We start from the raw sequence: 20,256 nt of genomic DNA, 5'->3' as shown, positions 1-20,256 counted from the left end.
CTCAGCGTCACCCTCTTTCGTGCTATGTCTTTGATGATTAAATGTCCTTAAAAAAGGTTGAAAACTATACACATGTATATGTGTATAAATTAAATATGTTTATTTTTGCCTATTTTTTCTAGATTTTACTTTTCTCCAATGGAGGGAAGTTTATGAAAAAGACCTTGATTGGTGAAGCCTGTATCTGGCTTGACAAAGTGGATCTCAGAAAAAGAATAGTCAACTGGCACAAACTTTTGGTCAGTCCTACTCAAACGCATTGAAGAAACATGTCTTCTCAGGGTATAGAAACTGCTCTAAATAGCCTCACATCAAGACTATAGTTGAATACTATTGTACAAAGCTAAGTTTTGAGAGGCAAACATAAGAGTGGGAACAACAAGCAAAAACATACTTAAGACCTTGTACATTTATTGTTGTGGATCACACAAAGATATTCAACTGAAAAAGTTCACATACTGAAAACAAGAAGAATGGAGTTCTGAGACCTTGAATTTCCCATGGCTGTGAAGAGAAACTGTGAAACAAATTTTGATTACTTAAGACAATAATCTTTGAGTAGAGTTGAGCTATAGCTTAAGACAGGCTCAAAGATTAATGTGGTTTTCATGCAGCACAAAGGTAATTCTTTATGCAAAGGAGCCTTGGTTGAAAGGAAAGGACTGATGTAACAAATCTCAGTTTTCAAAACTTCAAAAATCTTCCTTCATCGTCTTCTATTCAGACAACTTGCTGCTTTCAGATTCTGACATAAGATATACCTACAGTATGTGTCCAGGGCTGGAAGTGAGGTGGCTGTGTTCTTAGGGAAAATGGAAGAGGAGATGTAGAAATTGTGGCTTTCAGGCCATATTTTACCAGTTTTCTCTGTGTCTAAATGTTACAAGCATATACAACACTGACTTTGGAATCCATGTGGTAAAAGCACATTTGTTTCTGTATCATTTGAAACAAGGTAGAGTGAAGATAATACTCAGTAGAAATAAAATTGAATTTATCTAGAAATAAAACTATGACTGGCTAACAAAGAAGAATGTTGCCCCATAAAATATTGGAATTTTGGTTGAAACCATCAAAATCTTCATAATTTACCATTAAGCCAAGACATCTTCAGTCTATGTACCAAAGGACCTAGAGTAAACTGATATGTTCTAGGAAGCATGATAACTTACTCTTTGTGAAACTGCAAATAAATGTATTATCCTGCACATTTCCTTTCTGTTGAGCGATGCATTGACAGAGAAAGAAAATTCTTTCTCTGGCAAACAAACCATATTAATCTTGTGACATTGATTAATTAAATGGATCCTCATTTCATAATATTTTATGCTTTTTTCCTTAATGACTTAATTCATTTACTGATTGTATCATGAAAACATGACACTAAACTCGAGTTCTCTCTAGTGCTCTATTTTCTTACTTTAGTGACAGTATCACAGTGATCAAGTTCATCAATGTTGGGAAAATATGTGAAAAGTCAACATTTACCTGAGATTAAAATATACTTTGAGCTATTTTAATAATAATGAATAAAACAACTAATGTCCAAGTCTTAAAATGAAGCACCCTCTTCTCTATCAGCATTATTAATTAAGGAAGTAACGTGAAGTTGTGGAAAAAACACTCAGCAGGGAATAAAAGCCTGTCTTCTGGTCTTAGTTCTACCACTGACTGTGTCACTTTGCACATGTCACTTACACTCACTTTACCCCAGTTTTCTTATCTATAGGATAAAAACAATTATATATTCTTAACCTTCCAAATGAGATGTTGTGATGATAAATCAATGATCCATGAAAGATGAAAGCACATTTCCAAATATAGTTTTATACACAGAAGTGAGGAATAATTATTACATATCTTTTTAATTCTCAAATTTTATATGTGAAAAACATCATCTAAACCAATGGCAAGGATTGACATGGATAAAAGCAGTAAATTAGCCACAAAACTTATTTTTTATTTAAAATATAAACTTTAACCTGACTAAAGGTGAAGAATTACATGAAAATGCAAATTTTGCTATCCCAAATTAAATGAATAATGCTGGTCTTACCCTAGTCCTATATTCCACCCAAAAGAAATAAATCAAATTGCTTCTCAGAGCATTCTGAGCTTAAAACCTGCTGCTTTATTTAAGGGTGAAGTGTTAGTGGAATTAGAGAAAACCAACTCTAGATATTGGTTGGATATTGAATTTTCTCATTTTTAAAGAAAAAATGCTCTAAATTTGAGAGGACTGTAAAGCACTAAAAATAAGAGAATTTCTAATATATCCCAGGATATATATATATATATATGACTTCAGAATACAAATTCGATCTTCCCCAAACTGAGAAAGATAACCATAACTTTTCTTCCCTCTATTTTTTAATCCCCCTCCACTGACAATACAATGTCATTTACCATTGACATTGCTCTCAAATGAGCATGGGAGAGTGGAATCATCAAAGACATTATATTGCTAGTATTTTATTTTTAGAAACTATTAGATCTGCTGATGGTTGCCATGGATATTTCCAGCAGAAGCTAGCACTTGAAGAAGCCTATAATCATCACTCATAATTGGGGAAGAAAAGGTCCAAGGAGATCTCCTTCTGACATAAAAAGGCTCTGGTATTTGCCCTTAAAAGAAAACCCTGACTCATCTCTGATCCTCTTTTGCAGCCACTCATATCCATAGGTATGCATGAGAGTTTGTATGACCAGTTAGCTTTCTTCATTCCAGTTGCAATTTCTTTTAGAATAATATAAATGGAGGGATCACCAAAACAAAGATTATCTCTTTGGTAGCTATTTAACCTGAAAGCGTAGGAGTCTTTCCATTATAGAAGCCCCTCCGTTCCAAGGAACTAGCGATGGGGCTAGGTCAATCAGCAGAGTTGACAACAGGGCTTCTTTTTGTGCACCAGCATTCCCCTTCAGAGAGCATAAGATCCTGCCAGTGTGCCAAGTTTGCAGCTGACCAAACTTCTAGGTTGTACTGGAATTATTCTATGCAACACTGATCCTTATATGAATGCGTTTCTTCTGAATGATGTTGACTACCCTTCTTACAACAAAACTGTTTCTTTTTTATTGCAAATAGGGCTCTTGGTGTTTTTTACTTTTTTGTACATATCACAGTACATGGTTTTTCACTCTTTAGTTTATTTCATTTTATTGGAATTAACTTTTTTTTATTCTAATACTGACAGAGTTTGTAATCTCTATATAATACGTAATTACTCCAATTACAGCACTTTTACCTTGAAGAGCATCTCAGTTTTTCCCACAATTTCATTGAGTCATCAGAGACTGATGTTGCTTCTTGGTTTCAAATTTGGTCCTAAAGAAACTTTCGGCTGTAGAAACAAAAGCACAGAGTGAATTTTTTACAAAAGACAGGGAATATAGAATAGTCATTACAGACACAAATAACCCTAGTAGCACGAAGTTGGTGTTTTCTCTGTTTTTACTTAAGATTAAGAAGATTTTTGGTGACTCTGAACTCTTTATTTATATTTCAGTTTAAAATATCAAGACTAAGGGGCATCAGTTATCTTTACTCTTTAATATTGCCCATATTTTAATAAATTACACTAATTAAACGCATATTTTCAGCATACCAGTGGAATTAATTTTGTGGATCACACACATTTAAATAGTCATATTGTGGGAATATTATAGCTGGTAACCAGCTGATATTGATTCTTATTATAGGAATGACTGTAATGATAGTGGTGGTAGCAGTAGTGATATTAGCGGTGGTGGTGATGTGAAGTAAAATAAAAGTATATATTATATTGTGCCCAATTTATTAGAAATTATTTGATCAATGCTTCATTTCATTAAAATATCATAAAGATGTTTATAGTATTTTTTTACTTTATTATTTAAATCATAACTAACAATATTTTTAAAAACTTATTTTCATTGCTACAATGTCAAATATTCCAAAATCAGCCAACTACAGCTATATATGTGTTATGTGTGACAGAAGTGATCTTCCTTCCCTCTTTTTGAGCTTGACATGAAAGTGAAAGAAGACTCAATGAATAATTATGAGCTATTTATTTAATAATTACTTGCCTTGGGTGTAATACAGTAATGAATGAGTGAAACAAATATTCTCATTGAATATGATACAATGCTGTTTTCTGTATGTTTCATGTTCTATTATTAAAGGTATCCATTAGGCCAAAATTATTTAATCAAATTCTTTATCTGATAGGTAGATTGAGAGCATTTTCTTAATGCATTACCTTGTACATAAGTATACACTTGGTAAAGTAGACGAAGTTGAAATATTAATTTCATTTGGCATTTAGCATGTGAATATGATTATTGTTTGATTGTGTCTGTATATTTGTTTGGTGACGTGCTCAGGTGCTCCCACTACTGATTAATGTGTGTGCTAATATCCTAAAAACACATATGAGGTTTAAGAAAAAATTTTCTTGTCTGAAAACATAAACATCTTAATAAAACTGATTTTGAAATAAAAACTAAAGTACTTGAAGATATGTCTTGTTTCTAACTATATGTTGCATGCCATGTTGGTGATTTGCTAATGTGTTTTTTTGTTTGTTTGTTTTACCCAAATCCCTTTGGAAAATCTAATGGACAAATGCAAATTCTTGGACTAAGGACTGTATAAATTGACCTGAAAATACATGAGAGTTGCATTTAAAAAAAAATGCTTGTAAATCCGTCTTGAGTTTTACTCTATGTAAAAATATGTCTTGGTTTTGTGATTGTATACAAGATGTATCTTGATAACTTATGTAAACTGTGCCGTATAAAGGCTGTTGCCTCAGCCTTACTAATAAATACTGAAAATATCACCTTTGACTTCTTGTGTTTATCAACTTGATAAATTCATCCTTAATATAAAGATAAAACTTTTCAGGACATCTCTGAAAATTGTATCGTAAATATATTCACTAGCCCAGTTTTAAATTTGTATTTCAAATATAGCAGAGATACAGAAAACAGAATTAAACAAATGCATAGCTTCATAAATGATTGTATGTCAGACATTCTTATAACCACCATCCAGGCCAAAAAATTGAAATTTGCCAGCCATCTCATAAGTCTTGCATTCAACTCATCCCTATCACAACTCGTTCCCACCCTTCTAAATGTAACACTATCCTGATTTAATGATAATAATTTCTTGATTTATCACTCACAGAGCCCACAAAACACTAGTGTAGTTGTCCTGTTCTATTTTTAATATTTTTCTAAGCTTCTTTTAATTTACGTATTCTCCTCCGCCTCCCTTCTTTTTCAGTGAATCGCCTTTAAAAAAAAAAAAAAAAGAAAAGAAAAAAACTTGGTCTTTGCACCTGTAGGATTCCTCGCAAACTGGGTTTTGCTCATTGCATACTACAGGGTAGTTAACAAGTTTCTCTGCCTCTGTGTTACTTGTACATTGGTATTTTTTCAATATGCTTGGTCCAAATCATGTCCAATTTCTTTGTCACAAGTCGGTCTTGTATTCTTGGACTGGGAGGCACATATGTCTGGTGGTCTCTTACTTTGTCCCGCTTGTGGCCACTGATGCTCAATCCCTGGAATATATTTATTAATTAATTAAATGTTGCAAAATGATAATATTATATATCAATCATTATTTCTTCTTGAAATATTTAGAAAAATATAAACTTCTTTTGAGTCAATATTTGGTTACCCCGTGTTACAGTCTGTACAAGAAATCTCGGATAAAGGCAGAGAGAGCTGGACAATTTCCCTTTATCTGTTTACCGTATTTCAAAATAACAGATAGTTCCCTACCACCCCCCAAAAATAACCAATTCCTTTTTCTTTTTATTTTTAGTGTCATTATAAAACCAAAGATTGAAACATATTTGATATGTTTTAATTCTTTGAAGCTATTATTCATATTAATGCTTGGATTTACCCTTTTTGGTCAGTTAGGGCATGTCCGAGGGGGCTTACATGTTTACTATATTCTTTGATACTCTCTTGCTATAGCAAGTAAGTTACCTATCATTTTTTAACCTTAAAACAGTGTAAACAACTAGTTGGTTTAAATTTTTATTTTTTATCTATTCATCTCTCTGCAATAATTAAATTTAGGAATGTATCACACTGATTGATCAAATTTTATGTAATATACTTCTGGTAAACTTTTAAGGGCATTCTTAGGTGAAGTATATATTGGAGTTTTTTTTAAGATAATGCCAGATCTAAAGAGTTATAAATAGATGAATGGTTTAAAAGTTTGGCTTTTTGACTATTTATTTTCTAGGTATTAAAAGCTGAAAATGCCTCAAACTACAGTCTAAAGATCTTGAAGATTGAGACAAAATAGTTATCTATTAAAAGATAATGATGAAAGTATAATTGCAAAAATTTTGAAATCTTTTCTTCCTGTATAACAACTCCAAAAAAATGTTTTTTCATTTTGATATTTTTACTTTTTTTGTATTATATTTTTTATTTTATTATTTATGAAATGAAGGAAGAATTTCATGGATTATTTATAAGAAAACAATCTTCCAAAATTTGATTATTTGAAAAGATTAATAAAATGAAAAAATCCATGCCAATCAAAAGAGAAAACCAAGTTACCATAATCAGATATGAGAAATTTTCATGGATGTCAAGATATCTACCTGATAATGAAAAAAACCAATCCAGCAATGTATAAAAATGATAAGAATCATGATCAAGTTAAATTATACTATTTACATAAGAGTATTTTAATATTGGGAAATGAATTAATGAAATCTACCACATTAATATGCTAAAGTAAAAGAATGATAAGGTACTGTGATATATTTGAAGAAATTAAAAATTCATTCATAATAAAAACATTATAGCACACTTGGAATGGAATGGTACTCTTTAAATCTAATGAATTGTATCTATGTATAAAACTTGGTGAATGGCTTTTCTTTTGAGACCAGAAACAAAACAAGTATGCCTATTGTATCATTTCTATTTAATATTGTATCAAAGATCCCAGTCATGTATCAAGGCAAGGAAAAAAATACAAATAATTGAACAAGAAGTAGAAAGGAAAAGAAAATTATAATTATTTGTAGATTATATGTCTTTATGCCTAGAAAATCCAAGCACTCAACAATTTTCTTTAGAATATACAAGTGAATTTGTCAATTCTACTAGATGCAAATGAAATTGTTAAAACATAATTTTTATTATCATCAAAGGTATCAAATGCTTAGGAATAAATTAACAAAGAGGTTCAAGACCTCTACAAAGAATGTTTTTAAGATAATACATTAAACAAGACCTGAACACCATGTTCATTGATTGAAAAAGTTGAATATTGTAGTGGTACTCAACTCTTCCCAAATCACAAATGCAACCACATTTTTTGTTTCTTTTCTTTTTTTTTTTTTTTTTTTTTTTTTTTTTTGAGACGGAGTCTCGCACTGTCGGCTAAGCTGGAATGTAGTGGTGCGATCTCGGCTCACTGCAAACTCCGCCTCCCGGGTTCAAGCGATTCTCCTGCGCCAGCCTCCCAAGGAGCTGGGATTACAGGTGCACGCCACTACGCCCGGCTAATTTTTGTATTTTAGTAGAGTTGGGATTTCACTATGTTGGTCAGGCTGGTTTCGAACTCTTGACCTCGTGATCCGCCTGCCTCAGCCTCCCAAAGTGCTGGGATTACAGGCGTGAGCCACTGCGCCCAGCCCAATGCAACCACATTCTTAAATATATGTGAAATTTCACAAGAAGATTACAAATTTATGTTGATGCACAAAATGCCAAGAAAGTCAAAGCATACTTGAAGAGGAAGAACAAGATTGAAAACTATTTTCTAATAGTTATCAAGACTCATAAAAGTACACAAGTTACACTCTAGACAATCCTAAGGAATAAAAAAAAAAAGGACCAAAGTTAAAAGAGTATAGTACTGACACAGGATAGATAAATTGAACAACAGAACAAAATAGTGAGACCAGCAGACTAACACACAAATATATATAACACAGGAGGCAAAATAGATCTGCGATAAAATCATGAAATTTTAATGAATAGTGTGGGTCAATTAACTGCTTGAAAAGATAAAACTGGATCTTACTTCACACAATTAGCAAAAATAAATTGCATTTAATTTTAAAACTTCAATGTGAAAGTCAAATTTATAAAACATTTAGAGGATAATATAGAAAAAATTTTATAAACTCGAGTTATAAAAAATTCTTAAGACAGAAAAATACTAATCAAAAGGCAAACCTGATAAATGCAACTACATAAAAATAAAGACTTCTGTTTCTCATAAATTATAAAAATATTGACAAGAAATGCCACAAAATTCAGAAAGATATTTGTTATCTAAAGCAATTTTAAAAGGACTACTGTCAAGAATACATAAATAAATCAGAGGACAAAGAAATTCAAATGATTAATAAGCGTGCATGGATGCCCAGCCTCATTAGTTTCTGGTTAATTCCAGTTTAAACTACAATGAGACATCATATGCACATTACATTGGTAAAAATATATTCTAGGGAACTCAGACGTTGGCAATGTATTAACAATTCTCATGTAAGCATAAAATGATATAAGCATAAATTGGTACAACCATTTTTTAAAATAGCTTGAAATTACCTTGTACAGTTAAATGCCTTTACAAAGTAAGTGCCTTATAATTGAATAATTTCATTCCTAGATACAGATATCAGAAAAATTTTTGAAAATGTGCACCAGGAGACACGTCCAAGCTTCCACACAGATGGGTTTGGCAACTTATGATTGGTATGTGACCTTGCCTTACCCATCATTAAATATTTTTGATATCATCCTTGCAATCATATTTATATTGGTGTCATTCTTTATAGCCACAAACTCAAAACAACCCAAACATCAACAATAAAATAGGTAAATATTTTACAGTATATTAATGCAACAGAATAACATGAAACAACAAAAATGAACAAACAAGAGCTATACACGTCAATATGAATAAGTTTTATATATATGTGGACAAAAAATATAGTGTGATTCTAATAACTATGAAAATTCAGGGCATGATTATCACAAAAGAAAGGATAGGTTACCTCACAGGGGAATAAGTAGACGTAATTGGCTAAGGGAAGAGAAGGAGGGAAGAATGAAGACTTAAATACTTAAATTCAATGCCTAAGTAAATCCTCTTCCTTCTCCTCTCCCACTCCAAATACATTTGTCATTATCTTCATGACATGATAGGAATTTACAACTGGGAGCAAGGAACCCATTGAAGTTCTCTCTCTCCAGCAAGAGACTAGGAGATAGGGACACTATCTTCCTTGATGACTGCATTTTAAAGGGACGGCTGCATCATCCTTGAGAAAGACCATCCTGGTCTATAAAACTGTCTTAAGGCAGGCTTTGAGTCTAGAAGCCTATCTATATTTTCTGCAAAAGTATTCCTGATTTTAAAAAGGAGGAGGAGGAGGAAAAGTGGAGGAGGAGAGAGAAGGAAGAGGAGGAGGAGGAGGAAGAAGAAGGAGAAGGAGGAAAGAAGAAAGAAGAAGAAGAAGCCTGTCACTGTCATGAGTGTGGTCAAGCTGAGGGAAATGTTAAGACCAAGTTGGTCACATTCTTAACTTCCCAACCACTTGCCACCTCCAACACACACACACACACACACACACCCCTGAAGTGGAAATAACCTTGAAAGTGAGTTGTCACTAACCTGACCAAAAGCATATTGAAATTGTAAATTTACAATGAATTGAAATCAATTGTAAATTTACAATGAATTGAAATACAAGATGAAAATAAGGTCGGTAAAATCTGTAACCTCTTCTCCAGAAGGTAAACAATCAAAAAGATTGGCCAGTGGTGGAATAGGTTAATTAACACCTTCCAAAAGATGTTCACTCTCAAATCTGTGAACAAATAGCTGAGACAATTTACTAATTTGAGAATTTTGTAATTTTTTTTATTTTCATAGATTTAGAGGGTCCAAATGCAGTTTTGCTACATGGATTAATTTGGGAATTTTTAACCTGCTATCACTTGTCACACTTTTTAAAATTACAACTACTATCTCAATTCCATTTTCACTTTTGTTTTGAAAGAACAAAACACAAGATTTATTCAAGGCCACCTCATTAAGATAACTTAAATGAATAGATCAGTTATTTCAAGGTATAGGGATTTATGTGGGTAGCCACAGTATTTTCAAGTAAGGTTATTCTATGTACAAGAGACTATATGACTTAGTTTTTAAAAATACAGAATATTTAGTCAGGAGAATTGGGCTCTAAACCATAATTTTGACACTAATTAGTGCTACAACACTGGGCGGGTATCCTTAAGGCCTCAGGTTTCCCAAGTTAAAGAGCTGGACTACATCATCCACAGTGTTCCCCACAGATCTAACAAAACTGACAACACTATTGCATTCTTTAAATAAAATCTTTCTGTTTTCTAGCTTGTTGCCCATTTATACATAATTTCTCAAAAAATCACTATAATTAGCCAATATTTAAAACTAAATTTTAATACTCAATCTGAGTCAATATCTGACTCTAAATACAAGTAACCAATAAAATAAGCTCACTTTCTGGGCAATGTATTGTGCTTCTGCTAGAACCCTGTCCAGTTCTATAATTTCTGGTATTTCCAATTTTTTTCTGAACCTCATAATTTGTTCATATAATTGTCATAATTCTTAGTTTTTAGATTTTTAAGCACAATAGAAAGGTATGGAGGACAATTACGAGGCAAACCAATAAGCATAAGCATAATCTAATCTTTGATCATGATCAAGAAATACCAGTATTATGACTGGGCCATTTCATGTATGTGCCCATTATCCTACTTCTGGAGAGGTCATTGACAAAGGTGGCTAACTTCATCTAACCAAATCATTTTGACTACTTCATTGTTCACTATATCTTCTTTCATATATGCTTTCTTAGGTATTAACTTAAGATGCAAAAATCTTCACACTCTGTACCCGTTCCCATGTGTCCGCCCATACTCTATCATAGACCTTCTTGTCTCTGATCCTCCAGTCTTTTCCCCCCAGGCCCCTCACCAGCCATCAAGGCCATTAGTAAATGTCCAGAAATCTGTATATATTGTCCCCTCAGGCCATTTCTCCTTCCTCAGACTGGATGACCAGGTTCTTCATTTTCACCTCCACGTGTTGGGAAGATGTTTTCTCTCTACTGATTATCAAGTAATGCTACAGTCCTCTGTCATCCATTTTCAATTTGAGCTCAAATACTGAGACTGCCTGTCTATAAATCAAGCATGGGTATTTTTCTTTTTCTTCAGCTGGTCTTAGAAAATGCACCAAGTAAAGAGCACTGGTACAACCATCCTGAGTGACATGTGGGTCTAGGCCACCTGCTCATACAGCCTGCCTGTGCCCTTGTTGTTGCTTAAACTTGATCTCCAATGTAGTACTTTTAACTTGTGATGGACTGCTGCTGAGCCTGCTGACTTTATGACACGTAGATCTAAGAGAGCCAGCTCATTATGGGCAGTTCCGGGAACATGCTTACTTGGTGCCCCATGGTCAAGTGTTTCATCTGTACAAGGGCCAACTGTCATGCCAAAAGGTGATTCTAAAATGGAGTATAATTCCCCACTGCAGATGTTATGGCCTTGCTTCAGAATCCCAGTAGGATACACTAAGATTCTCACACTGGGGTTTACCATAAACTTACATTCCATCTTCTCCCACTACTGACGTTTACAACAATTTAGAGCCGGAGAGATTACATGATCCAAGTGGTAGGGCTGCTTGACCCACATCCTCAACCAGCTGCAGAGCCCTTTTCTATTCTAGAACTCATTTAAAGCTATCATCCTTTCATATCACTGGACTTAAGGGCTAGACAATATTGTTAAGTTCAAAATGTGTTCCAGCCACGATCCAAAAAGGTCTTTCAGGTGTGGTGCTTCCTTTTCTGTGATAAGGGCAAGAAGATACATAAATTTGACCTTTACTTTGCAGGGGATACCTCAAATGCCCCTGATCACTGGACCCCAAAAAACCTGACTGAAATTGCAGTTTTCAGAAATGTGTCTTTGCAAGGCTTCCAAAATACTAGCCACTGTTTCTTGAACTGTCTAAATCAGCATAGTGTCATCAATAAAATAAATAAATAAATCACAATAAATCAACAAATCAATGTAATAGCCTATGAAGTGTCCAGATGGTTGAGATCCATTTTAAATATATTATGACAAAGGGTTGAAAGAGTTAATATAGTCCTAGGGTAAAACTGTAAGTCAATATTGCTGTCCATTCCACATATATGAAAATTTCCGTGATTTTTTCTGATCAGAATTTTTTTAAATTATGCATTTGCAAAATCCACATCTGCATACTACATTACCTGAAGCCTTAATATCGGCTCTAGCAATAATACCACCCATGGTATAGTAGCTACAACAAGAACTATTACTTGGCTGAGCTTACAGTATCTATAGTCTATATTTATTCTCCAGGATCCATTTATTTCACCCATGGGGAAGAATGGTAAGTTAAGCAGAGATATGCTAGGGCCATACATCCCTGCAACCTTTAGCTCTTGAATGGCATGTTTATTCTACCTTTCCTCCCTGTCCCCCAGAGATACACTGATTTACTATCTTGGTACAGGTAGGAGGGAAGAATAATTTCAGAGGTTTCCACTTGGTCTTTCCAAGAAGTCCAAAGACCAAACATGGGGAATATGCCAAATGCCAGGTAAAATACCAATTGCATATTGAAGACCAGGAAATGACCACCAGATATGTCTGTGAACACAGTGAATCCACTCTAGGCCAGGCTTTAGCAGACTCCACTTATTACGTGGCTCCTGTAAATCTCCACCCTAACTAGAGCGCCATGATGATTCACTGAGTCACCAGGTATCAACGTCAACTCAGAAATCTGTTCAACATTCCTCTGAGTACTTCTTTTTTCCTAGTAGATGGTCACATGAGTAAATAACTAGAAGTCCCTTTGAGAAAAGACTTGGGGAATCATTACAGTATATACATGCTTTGTATTGGAGACTTGTTCCTTTATGGGCACATGGTCATCCCTTTAGTAAATGAATCCTGAAACTCAAAATTAATTTAGGCGTGAGAACTAGGCAAAGCATTGTAACTTTATTTGTGGCAACTGGCCTCAGCCTCCCGCTTCTTCATTCTAGCTTATTTCTGATTGCAGATGTCAAGCAGCTCACTCATTAGCTACCCATCTATTTTGCCCCTAGTGATGCCATATTGTATTAACAACCTCCATAACTCCCTGAAGGTCAAGCCCCCTTGACTACTCCAATCTTGTGTGTCCCCTGCTTTTGTCTGTTAAGCCCTGCCACTTAGCCTCAATTATTCAGGGTCTCATCATGCTCATGAATACTAATCAGACCTGTTCTGGGAGCCCCTCTCCATCCAACTGCCCGTCATTCTGAGATGAGCTGCCACTGAACTTATGGATGCTGCTGCCCTCACCAATTGATTCCTGTTGGCTGAAGGACTCCCTGTGACCTCCCATGAAGCATAACATTTAATGGGGCTTCTGGCCCTACATGCCATGCATTCCATCAGGCCCACATTCCTGAGCCTTTTGCTTCTGCCAGGCAACCCAGGCATTTCCACTTTGCTCGGCCAGGGCCATCACTTATTCCTGGCTTTTAAGAGCCACTCTTAGCAGAAAGTTTGTTCTGTATTCTGGGGTCCTTACCAGGGTATAAAATAAAATGTCTCAAAAAAAGTGCTGCCAAGTCCATTGTTCTTATTCAGTCTTTCACTCTGGCTTCCGTGATCAAGCACCCTCAAACCTAACCCCAGGGGTGATCCCTTGGCTACTGTTTGTACATTGTAGCATATACCTGAAACTCCTTCAGTTTATAAACTCATTTCTCCCTTATCAGCCCAGCATGTCTCCAGTTAGATTGTGCTAGAATTCAGTCACAGTTTTCAGCTTTATAATCAGGATAGGCAGGAGGGGCAACTCTTGAGAAGGTCACCTGTCGTCTTGCAAAGGAGAGGCTGCTCTGTAGCTTTTTCCTGTGGGGGAGCAGTACTAGCTCTTACTAGGGAGGGACAGCCTTCTCCCTTTTGCAAATTCTGAGGGTCAGAGGGGTCTGAAAAGCCACAATTCTCAGGGATATGGTCAAAGTAAAAATTGCACTGGAAGGCAAAGAAGACATTATTCAAAGCTGCTAAAACAGAAGAGAGAGGTCGTCTGAAGTCAACTCTATTGAAACAAAGAGAAGGAGGAATTTTCAGAACTGGGATGATCTACTGGAAAAGTGCTGGAGGACATGGGGTGGGGGTTGGGCGGTTGATCAGTGGGATGTGCTAATCCTGAGTTTGCAAATGTTTTTTCTCAATTATTAGGCCATCCATGTTTGCTAATTGGTGCCCATAAAAGTTAGGCTCCCATTCGCACACAGAAACTGAAAGATAGGTGCACTATCTTTCCTCGAAATTACATGTCAAAAGAGTGGCTTCTAAGTCCTCAAGAAAGACTTTCCTGGATTATGAGAGGACCTCAGGGGTTTTAAAGCCATCCCGGTCAGCGTTGACTCAGGTGTTCCAATTCTATCTGGTAGGGTTCCAGAGATCCTAACCACAGCCCTAACCTTAAGGGAAACCTGTACTGTCTTTGCTGAACGTTAAAATGTCTCTGGAGCCTCTGTAGTTCTCACTATGAAACCCCGGGTCTGCTTCTCAGCAACTATCAGCTCTTCCATTGCAGGGAGTAAGGGCTTCTTCCTAAACTACCACAAAGGGCCTCTGGCTATCACAGCTAACTTTACGAATTTGTCAACTTCCTTATCATTTATCGTTATACCTCTATAAAGCAACACTTCAACTTAGTAGTAAATAGTCAGTTCTGCTGTCCTTACAGGCATTGTGCACTCTGTGTCTTTCAAATGCCTTGATCCTCACACCAAGGACATTCCTCTCCCTGGGGACTTCTCCTAAGTCATCACTCCTGAAATCAGCAGCAATTGGGCTGCCACCTTATTCAGAAATTATCTATGCTTTGCGTTTCAGATGATGTATTTCCTTTTCAAGTGTTAAATATTCTTTATTTGATATTACACACACACCACACTAAAATGCCTTTCAATAAGTACGAGAAACTTTTTTTTTTTTTCCAGACAGAGTCTTGTTCTGTTGCCCAGGCTGGAGGTCAGTGGTGTGCGATCTCGGCTCACTGCAACCTCCACCTCCTGGGTTCAAGCGATTCTCCTGCCTCAGCCTGTTGAGTAGCTGGGATTACAGGCATGTGCTAACACACTTGGCTAATTTTTGTGTTTTTAGTAGAGATGAGGTTTCACCATATTGGCCAGGTTGATCTTGAACTCCTGACCTCAAATGATCCACCCACTTTGGACTCCCAAACTGCTAGGACTACAGGCATGAGCCACCACACCTGGCCAAGGAACCATTTTAGATACAGGAAATTCTAATTAGGTTGGTATAGTTAAAACCAAAAAGATAAAGTAGACTTTGCCACCTTATCTTCAGCCCAGCCTTTAGGAGGCAAATAACACAAAACACAAATGAGTCTTGCTTGGTTCTGAGAAAAAGGGGGGATTTCCCCAGTATTTAAATATAGTCATATAACAAGTATATACATCTGAATATAAAACCAATCTCTAATAGATTTTAAGATGGCATGCACCGTCTTTGTGGAAAGTTGAACATTATTAACAAAGTCCAGTCATATCTTCAGAAGACGAAAACAGCGATAGCATTTACTGAATCAGAATTACTATTAACGTTCAAAAAACCAAACATATTAATTTAACCACAAGCCAGTCTTAGTTAAGTCAGGACTGCCCAAGAAAAATATTCTGTCAGTCATTCATGATCAGAATTCTGATGTATGAGATCTATTAAATCATGGCACACATAAAAAAAGTCACAAGACATACCACAGAAATACAAACTACCATCAGAGAATACTATAAACACCTCCAAGGAAATAAACTAGAAAATCTAGAAGAAATGGATAAATTCCTGGACACATACACCCTCCCAAGACTAAACCAGGAAGAACTTCTGAACAAAAATCTTCTTGCCCTTCTCATCATCGCCCATATTTAATTCTCTCTCATCGCTGGTGATATGAAGATTTCTGTTCAAAAGCCAGACATCTTGCTAAGTCCAGTATGGTACTTTATTTGCCAACTGGAGAGGGAATGATCCAGTCCCCACAACCCCCTTCTTGTCACCTGTTTTCTCAGACCACTCTCTGTGTCAGTTTGGGTCCTCTGAGTAGACACCAGGACAGGATTGGATGTCCAAGGGATTTGCGGGTGTATTGCCTTTGAAGGAAGAGCCTTCAGACCGAGATGGAAACATCATGACTGTGAAGAAAGAATGAAAAGAAAAGGAAGGACTGGGAAGGAAGGACTCCTTCAGACTGCAGAACTGTTCTGAAAAACTCTTGGGCACACTAAGGTGGTGGAGGGCGCTTCAAAGAAAATGCGTTCATTAGAGGAGGCGTCACTTTGAGCAGGCATGGACTGGTTCTACCCTGCTGTGCTTGACCATTGTCTGGGAGCAGCTTATAGGATGTGTGGCCTCAGTGCTCAGGAGGGGAGCAGCTAGAAATTGTTGATCAACTACCCTCCCACAGGAGGTTTTTATGAAGATCTGAGCAGGACATTTCCACAGCCACCACAGCATGTCATTTACAAGAACTCTTTATAAAATATGAAAAAGTAGGATAGAGAAATCTAATGGCAATTAAAACTTAAGGCCATAGGGAAAAATGGGATTCAGTTTGGAATTAGAAATCAGTGCACCTCATATTCCATTCTATCTTGGAGAGCAATAACCATTATTTTCTTCCTAGTATGTTTTAAGTATAATTTTGGTTTCCTCAAATAGTCTATTTCTTATACCAAGTATGATATTGTATATGTGAAGTTTGCCCTTTTAAAAAATTTATACAAAGAGAATGCTAAAAATGCTGAGATAACTAGAATAACATTGGCCCAGTGCTTTCTTAGTTGATGGGTAAACAAGAAAAAAAAGAACTTTTTCACTAAATCATTTTGGATAGCTTGATGTTCTTTTAATGTGTAAGAAAAAAATGGTTTAGCCTGGTGTAAACATGCCTTTGATTTCTGAATTTTAATGTTGGCTTTTAATGATGGTGCAGCATACTCTTAGCAGTGCTTGAAATGCCTCTTTAGTACATACTTCAAAGGAATGCTCAGAGCTGCTGCCTCTGCAATTGTTTAGTACTCTCATAAAGTGGAATTTGAAAGTGTGTCTTCTCCCAGGGAAGAAAAAAATCCCAGGAACTAGATACATTGATAGATGTAATTGAGATTGAAATTATTCTGTTTTCATTGAGGTCTAGGGTCTCAGTTCAAACATATCTAGCCTATTGCCATTCTATTGGGTACTTTTTATGCTCTCTTCTGTTCTTTTTTTTTTTCTATTTGTTAGAGTTGTCCTTCATCATCATCATCGCTACCATCAATAACATTATCAAAAATTACCATTAAAAGTATCACTTTGCCTTTAATATGTTAAGCATTACTGCTCAATGTGAGCTGAATGTTTTTGGTTTCCTTCCTATGCACAGTAGGAGAGAGTCAGGGCTGAAGGCCAAATACTTATAGGTTAAAACTAACAACTCAAACCCATAGTCCTCAGAAACATCAAGACCAAATGTTGGGGTCTTGAGTCAGGAGATGGGAGAGAGGAAGCGCTTATGGGAAATGTTTTATTCTAGTCATCGTGAAGTTCAACCTATCTTGGACATGAAGACCCCTGACATGCACTCACAGTAGAATATTTTTATGAAAGCTGTTCTGAGATCAGAAGGGGCCAAGCGGTCTTGATGATGGGGGTTAATTCCTAAACATCTCAATCAGTTTCCCTATAGTCCCTGAATATTTTTGACATCTGGATGTTTTAAGTGCAAAATATGTATTTTAAGACACTTACCTAAGGAGCAAAGTTCATTATTATTCAATGGTGTTTTATTTACTGATGTTTAGAATTCATTATTAAAAACTCTTATCAAGCTATAGATACTTGCTCACTACAGTCACTTTTCTTCCCTAAGATATGCTGTAAACTTGGCATTTTTAAAAAATGTTTATTTTTCTTCCCTCAGCTTCTGGACTCAATATCAATAAGGCAGCTAATGTTGATAAAAGAAGACACATTCCATGCATTTTAAAGAAAAACGCAATTTATTTTTAAAACCCCATTCCAGTGAATATTTTAAAATATTTTATACAATAATTAATATCTCTCCAAAAATACAGCTTACTGCTTCTCATTGTTCTTTCATATTAGCTTGAATTACTGATTACCTGAATATAGCACGCTGCTAAAGGAAAAGGTTGAAATAGTCTGGAAATTCCAGATCCATCTTTGCTTTTCTAGACATATTCTGCTAGAGTCCCCTGCTCCAGCATTTGTGAATCACGCCCTCTGCTGGAGCCCCATGAGTTCAGTTGAATTGAGTTCAGTTTAATACTGAATGAGTATGCCAAGTGCACTAGAAAAACTCTTTAATCAATGATGACCCAGTTAACAGAGAAGATGCACAAAATCTGTGCCTAGCAGTCCCTCAGAAATGAAAGCCTTTCTGCTGTGATCTATTTATGTTTTATTTCTTAAATATCTAATGAGGCTAAGTCAGATTTTTCTGACAGCTTTGGATCCTCAGCTTTCTGCATTCATCATTTCCGGTCTGTAACAGCAAAATCTATATTTAAAGTATTTTATTCTTTTCTTTTCTTCAACCTATACAGATATATAGGTAGAAGATCTATATCCAATACAAATATACCCTTCTTATCTTTTCCCTCAAAATATTTTGCAGAGACCTTTGTCCTCCACAAAAGGTGACTTTATGCAGAGTGTAGTAGTGTAGTGGGATGGAAGAGAAGGTTCCCCTGTTTAAAAAAATATATTTGATATCAACCCAAATCAATGCTTTCTACCATTCAACACCCCCAATATCTCACTCAGGCTGTTCTAAAAGGATCTACAAAGTAGTTCCTGTAGGAAACAGAAACTGGTCTGTTTGCAGTTTTTAAAAAATATCCTGATACTATTATTCCTCTGCATCTTATGTCAAAAAAAGCACACAATTTCTATCAACATAAAGGATCATGTTTTAGAAAATCTGGATATACTAAGATCCATTTTTTTCCTTTCAAATCTGTATTAGTCTGGGTTCTCTAGAGAAACAGAAGCCATAGGAGATAGGTAGGTGATTGATTGATAGACAGATAAATAGATAGATAGGTAGATGGATAGATACACAGACATCCAGATAGATAAATTTGCCATAGGAGTTGGCTCACATAATTACGGAGGCTGAGAAGTCCAAAATTTGCAGTCAGCAAGCTAGAGACTCTGGAGAGCCGATGGTATAGTTCCAGGTCAAGTTTGAAGGCCTGAAAACCAGGTGAGCAGATGATGTAAGTTCCTGTCTGATTTTGAAGGCCTGAGGACCAAGACAGCTGATGCATAAGTTTCCGTGTGAGTTCGAAAACAGAAATAGACCAATGTCCCCATTCAAAGACAGAGAGAAAGAATTCTTTCTTACTCAGCCTTTTATTCTACTCAGGTCTTTCAGCAGATTTGGATGAGGCCCAACCACATTGGGAAGGGCAATCTGCTTTACTCAGTTTACTAGTTCAAATGTTAATTTCATCCAGAAACACCCTCACAGACACACCCAGAAATTATGATTTTTCTGGGTACCCCTTGGCCCAGTCAAGTTGACACAAAAGTTTAACCATCACAAATCTACTCCTCGCCAGTTTGGCACTCATATGCATCTTCTTAAACATATTTTATCTCCAAATAAAGAAAATAACATCTAACGTGATAAAACTACCCTGCACAGAACTGAAAATGCACCAACCCCTTCCCCAGAAGAGGAGGCAAAGTCCTTAAGGGGTGTTTACTCTTATCCTTGATATCCTATAACTTAAGTACTGAGATGTAAAATTAACAATACTTAAATACTATGATATAGCTGGGCATGGTGGCTCCCACCTGTAATCCCAGCACTTGGGAGGCTGAGGCAGGCAGATCACTTGAGGTCAGGAGTTTGAGATCAGCGTGGCCAACATGGTGAAACCCCATCGCTAGTAAAAATACAAAATTAGCCGGGCATGGTGACACATGCCTGTAATTCCAGCTATTCAGGAGGTTGAGGCAGGAGAATCACTTGAACCCAGGAGACAGAGGTTTCAGTGAGCTGAGATGGCACCATTGCACTCCAGCCTGGGCAACAAGAGTGAAACTCTGTCTCAAAATAAATAAATAAATAAA

At 36.0% G+C, this 20,256-nt stretch overlaps 1 protein-coding gene across 4 annotated transcripts in view; it reads left to right on the top strand.

The window, feature by feature from the left end:
- PCLO (piccolo presynaptic cytomatrix protein) overlaps nucleotides 1-4,826 on the top strand; it is a 408,873-nt gene extending 404,047 nt beyond the window's left edge. For all 4 annotated transcript variants that reach the window (XM_017012006.3, XM_047420211.1, NM_033026.6 and 1 more), the window contains one exon: nucleotides 123-4,826. In XM_017012006.3, the coding sequence (XP_016867495.1) occupies nucleotides 123-263 (141 nt within the window). In that variant the 3' untranslated portion in view covers nucleotides 264-4,826. The remainder of the gene's footprint in view (nucleotides 1-122) is intronic.

Source organism: Homo sapiens, chromosome 7, assembly GCF_000001405.40.
Source record: "Homo sapiens chromosome 7, GRCh38.p14 Primary Assembly".
Lineage (NCBI taxonomy): Eukaryota > Metazoa > Chordata > Mammalia > Primates > Hominidae > Homo > Homo sapiens.
The sequence above is the reverse complement of the archived record's forward strand: the minus strand, read 5'-3'. Positions and strand labels throughout refer to the sequence as shown.